Source organism: Homo sapiens, chromosome 7 (genome assembly GCF_000001405.40).
Source record: "Homo sapiens chromosome 7, GRCh38.p14 Primary Assembly".
NCBI classification, from domain to species: Eukaryota; Metazoa; Chordata; class Mammalia; order Primates; family Hominidae; genus Homo; species Homo sapiens.
In genome coordinates this window covers 95,627,193-95,632,763 of record NC_000007.14, presented here as the reverse complement: position 1 = coordinate 95,632,763, position 5,571 = coordinate 95,627,193, and the positions used below count along the sequence as shown (strand labels likewise).

General features: G+C 38.5%; 1 annotated feature.

The window, feature by feature from the left end:
- Positions 495-5,225: an enhancer, noted in NCBI's record as "VISTA enhancer hs2505". NCBI's record gives its function as "enhancer in: other[4/5]" and the evidence as "EXISTENCE:transgenic organism evidence [ECO:0001131][PMID:17130149]".

The following is a 5,571-nucleotide window of genomic DNA, read 5'->3' as shown; positions in this document are numbered from 1 at the left end:
ATTGGTGGCCCTCCAATTGCAAACTGGGTCTGAACCAGGCCAAAACATCTTGGCAGTTTGGTGAATTCAAAAGCAAGGAGTCATTTCAGTTAAATAAATAGGATGAGTAATTTTATCTCATTCCCACTCATCCCCCCCAGTGAAATTTTGTATCTCCACTGGGATAAAAAAAATTGAAAAGTTTAAAGTGGGAACAAACTGGCTTTATAGTGATGCACTGGCTAAGATGTCTAGTAATAATAGAAGAATAACAATAGCAAAAGCTTCCATTTACTAATGTTCACTATATTCCAGGCACTGCGGTAAGCACATAAAATTTGATCTTTGTTAGAAACAATTTTATAAATCAATTTTTGTCTTTTTTAATGAATGAAGAATTTTGCCATGATGATAAAGTAGCTAACTTTAAAACTCTAGGCTTTGATCACTACTACTTGTTTGAATGTAAACAATTATGACTGAAACTCCCAGTAGTGCTGTCAAATGGAAGAACAAGAACCGGAAGAAATGACCACGATATTTGATTTAGCATTTTCTTTTTAAATACACATTGCAGCAGGGCGCGGTGGCTCACGCCTGTAATCCCAGCACTTTGGGAGGCCGAGGTGGGTGGATCACTTGAGATCAGGATTTCGAGACCAGGCTGGCCAACATAGTGAAACCCCATCTCTATTAAAAATACAAAAATTAGCCGGGCGTAGTGGCATGCACCTGTAGTCCCAGCTAGTCAGGAGGCTGAGATAGGAGAATTGCTTGAACCCAGGAGGCAGAGGGTGCAGTGAGCTGAGATTGCACCACTGCACTCCAGCCTGGGACAGAGTGAAACTCTGTCTCAAAAAAAAAGAAAAAAAAAAAAAAATATATATATATATAAAATATGCGCGCGCGCACACGCGCGCACACACACACACACACACACACACTGCAACATTTATTTTCTCCATTCACTTACCTTGTGGGTGTAAGTCAATGTTTGTGATCTAGTATTGTGAAATGGCTACTTCCCACATGACAGAAAATCCCCCTAGGCCTTACAGGAAACACCCTGTATATAGCCAGGGGCAGATTTCTCCATGCTAATCCAGGAGTGATTTGCCCATGTTTATGGCATAGCTTTGTCTCTACTCTCACAAGTAACTTCAACATGTCTTCTAGACAATCAAGGATATTGCAGCAGTTTCTGTTTTTAAAGTTCCTGCAGCAGTGTCCTTGGATGAAGACTTTTCTATTATTTAAGTTTAGAGCTGTGTCATCTTGTGGTATGATCCCAAGGGGAATTTGGGGACCAGAGCAAAAAGAGTGGGCATCAAAAAATAGATTGATTGTAAGTTGGCATTTTTCATGATACACAGTCTGGGTTTGAATCTCCTTTCTGCCTTTTATTACCTGCGTGACCTGAGATATTTTACTTGTTATTTTTCTCATCTTTAAAATGAAGATAAGAACAGTGTCTGTCTCACAGGGCTAGTGTGATGCAGCAGGGAGAGAAGACATGTAAATATGTTAGCACAGTACCTGGCCCACAACCAGAGTTGAATAAACACTAGTTATTATGATAGAAACTCCTCCCTCTGTCACGTCTTAGGAATATACAACTTTGACCAAGTCTCTTAACTGCTCTAATCTCTGATTCTTCTCTAATCTGTAAAAAGAAAGAAATAGATTAGTCTAGATGTCCTATAAAATCTTTTTCAGCTCTAATTTTCTACGAATCAAAATCATTCTGTTCTTTAACAGCAGAAACAGTTCTCACCAAATACTCTACATACTCTTCTACATTTTTCAGCATTGTAATTAGGTTGGAATTGCATAACTAGTTCTGGCCAATGGAAATGCGAGTGTGTATGACTTGCTACTGTGAGTCCAACGCAGTTATGAGCCAGTGTGAATTCACCACAATACTCTTCTCTCTCTCTCTCTCTCATTGGTGATATTGGAAGCAAAGAATTTTGAGATACTATTGTTGCAATGTAGAAGCAGCCTGCATCTCTGAGAAACCACTGGAGTAAATCTGTCTGGCCTTCATTCGACTGTAATAAGAGCAGGAAATAATTCTTTGTTGTGTTAAGCAAGTGAGATTTTGAAGTTGACTTGTCAAAGCAGCCAGCAGTTACTTCTCCTGACTTGTACAGTATTCAAGCTCCTCCATATTCCATACCTCAATTTTTTATGAAGGTCTTTTTTTAAAAAAAAACAAATGTTTTTTAAACATTTAACAAACAAATGTTTGTTCTTTGTTTTTTATTGATTCCTAGGGGATCTAGGAATCTAGGAATCTAGGAATCACTAGAAGGTAAAGAACCAAGGAGCACCAGTACTTGCATTTCAATAATTTGGTCTGCTGACTACAAACTTCCTGATTCCTAGGGGAATCACTAAAAAACAGGGGGTAGGGTGAAGAAAAGAAAACGTAAAGAAAGTTTAACATGTGGCCTGAGAGGCATGCATGCAAAACATGGAAGAAGCTAAGAAGCCAACCAGGGCATTGTTTTAGTGTAGCTCCAGGCTTTTCTGATATTTTCTAAATGCTACCCTCTTTCCCACTACCTTGGTTCCAGGTTTATTTCATGGTACTCTCAAGAAGTGTTATATCACTGGGCATTGTAAAATTCTTGAAGCTGAATTAATTTTATTGTAGTTACACTAATTATCAGAAGAAAAACATTTCACACCAGGGATAAAATGGAAAGGCATGCAATATCTGACTCCCTTACATCATAGGATTGTTGTAAAAACCAAAATAGATACCAGAGATTGAAAACTGTGAAATGCTATGTATTAAGATGAGGTAGATGATGTGACGATAGAATAAGAAGTATATTGCAAAGGCACTAGAACTCATGAAAGACATAAGTTGCCTATGTCAGATATTCAGATTCTTTAGGGAAGGGAAGGGAAGAGACATATGAAAATCAAAATACAAAGCATGGTTAGAGATTTACATAGAAACATAGAAACTGCAGAGTACTTCTTATTTCCCTAACTATTCTCTTTCTTTTAAAAAAAGTTACTAAACTTAATCTATCAAGAAAAGAAAGAAACACCTTCTTCAAAATAATTGAAATTATGAGAGCAGTGAGAATGGTCTTTCTAAGCAGCTACATGTTTGTACATATCTGTATAGCATAAAGTGGAATTCTTTGAGTTTCCATCTATATTTTCTTACTTAAGAAACTAAGCTTAGTAGGCGTATATTGATGACATTTAAAAAATAATTATTGACTTAAATGTGAATTTCAAAAATAAGTAAATACTAGTGATTCAGCTCTCTGTGTCATTTATAAGATGGATTTGTCTAAATCATTAATGAGTAGGATGAAATGTCAGAAGAGAGACCACTGCAGCATCACAAACAAGATAGATAAAAACATCAGAGGGTGACTATTGACCTAATCCAAACAAATTATCTCCTGGTTCCATTGGTTGTTGCCAAGTCTCAGCAAAGTACTTAGGGTAAACATAGCACGAGAGTGGAAAGGGGTCTGCTTGTCTTTCCGTTTGTGATTGTTCAAGCAAATGAATGATAGAAATGTGAGCTGATCTCTGCCAACTGCACGGAAGTCATCAGATTATTGACGTCAATGCTATAAATGTTCTAGGCCCTTACAAGATAAAAGGAAAAGTAACATTGTGACTTGGAAAGAGAATGAGGCCCTGAGGTAATAGATCAGGTCACTGAGGCAGAACTAAGACTTTACTGCACCAACAGTCACCATTTAATGATGCCTCCTTGGACCTCCAGAGAGTGAGTTTTCTCAATCATATGAGAACTTGGCATATAAGATGAAAAGGCACTTAGCAGTACTGCATCATATCCAAACAGCAATGATTTACATGTTCTCTGAGCCTTTGAGCTCGGTACATTGTGTAATTTACAGGAGACTTGCTATTCCAAACTCTGGCCAACAGTTGGCCATTTCATCTCATATTGATATACTGAATAGACTATGATAGAAATAAAAGAGACAAAACCCATTTTAATAGTTGTCAGTGACTATAGATTTTTTTTTTGATACAGGGTCTGCTCTGTTGCCCAGGCTAGAGTACAGTGGCACTATCATTGCTCATTGCAGGACTCAGGTTAAATGTAACTAACTGCCAAGTGGATTCCATGATATCGATACACTAAATAGCTTTTTGGCTTTTCACCCAGTGTCTAGCAATCAGTGGAGGAATTACTACCAACAGGGACAGAGGACAGGGAAAGGGAGTGAGAGGAGTGAAGTGTTAAGAGCTGGAGAATAGAGGGAGAAGGTAAAGAACCAAGGAGCACCAGTACTTGCATTTCAGTAATTTGGTCTGCTGACTACAAACTTCCTGAGTGGAGGAGGGAAGTCTTGTAGCAAGTTAGACATACCTCTCTCTCCAAACAAACACCAAACAAACACACACACACACACGCACACACACACCACATACACACTCAAAGAACATTTAAAAAGTATCTCAGCTTGGCCAGGCGCAGTGGCTCACACCTGTAATCCCAGCACTTTGGGAGGCCGAGGTGGTTGGATTACCTGTGGTCAGGAATTCAGGACGAGCCTGGCCAACACCTACAATACCAGCTACTCAGGAGGCTGAGACAGGAGAATTGCTTGAACCCAGGAGGCGGAGGTTGCAGTGAGCCAAGATGGCGCCATTGCACTCCCGTCTGGGCAACAAGAGTGAAACTCCGTCTCAAAAAAAAAAAAAAGTATCTCAGCTCTATCTATAGGAAACTCAATCTTTTCAAACCAGAAAAAGATTCTCGTAGACTAAGACCCCAAATCTGTTCATTATCAGATTTGATCATATTGCTCGATACTTTGATGTGAAATATAGGATGATTGGATAGGACTCAGTTGCATTTCCACTATACCCAACATACTTATAATTTCTTTGCTTACCATTTTTTGTTAAGTCCATAGATTTTTCTGGATTTAATTTCCTTCCTGCTGAATTACATCAATCAGTAGTTCGTAAAGCAACGATCCATTAATAGTGAAACTTTTTAGATTTCTTTCTTATTTTATTTTATTTTGTATTTTTTTTTTTTTTTTTTGAGATGAAGTCTTGCTTTGTCACCCAGGCTGGAGTGCAGTGGCGCAAGCTCGGCTCACCACAACCTCTGCCTCCCAGGTTCAAGCGATTCTCCTGCCTCAGCGTCCTGAGTAGCTGGGATCACAGGTGTGTGCCACCATGCCTGGCTAATTTTTTATTTGTAGTAAAGACGGGGTTTCATCATGTTGGCCAGGCTGGTATGGAATTCCTAACCTCAGGTGATCCACCCACCTCGGCCTACCAAAGTGCCGGGATTACAGACATGAGCCACCGCACCCGGCCAACTTTTTAGATTTCTTGAGTTGTCTTTATTTTAATTATTCAATGGTAGGTTAGATGGATATGGAGTTTTTAGGTAAAAGTTTATTTCCTTCAGCACTTTAAAGATGTTTCACTGTTTTTGGCATCCATTGTCACTGAACAAAAATTTTTTTAGTCTAAATATTCCTTTAAAAGCAACATAATTTTTCTCTCAGCATTTGTGGTGATTTTGTTTGTTTGTTTTTTTTTTTTGTCTATTATGTAATATCA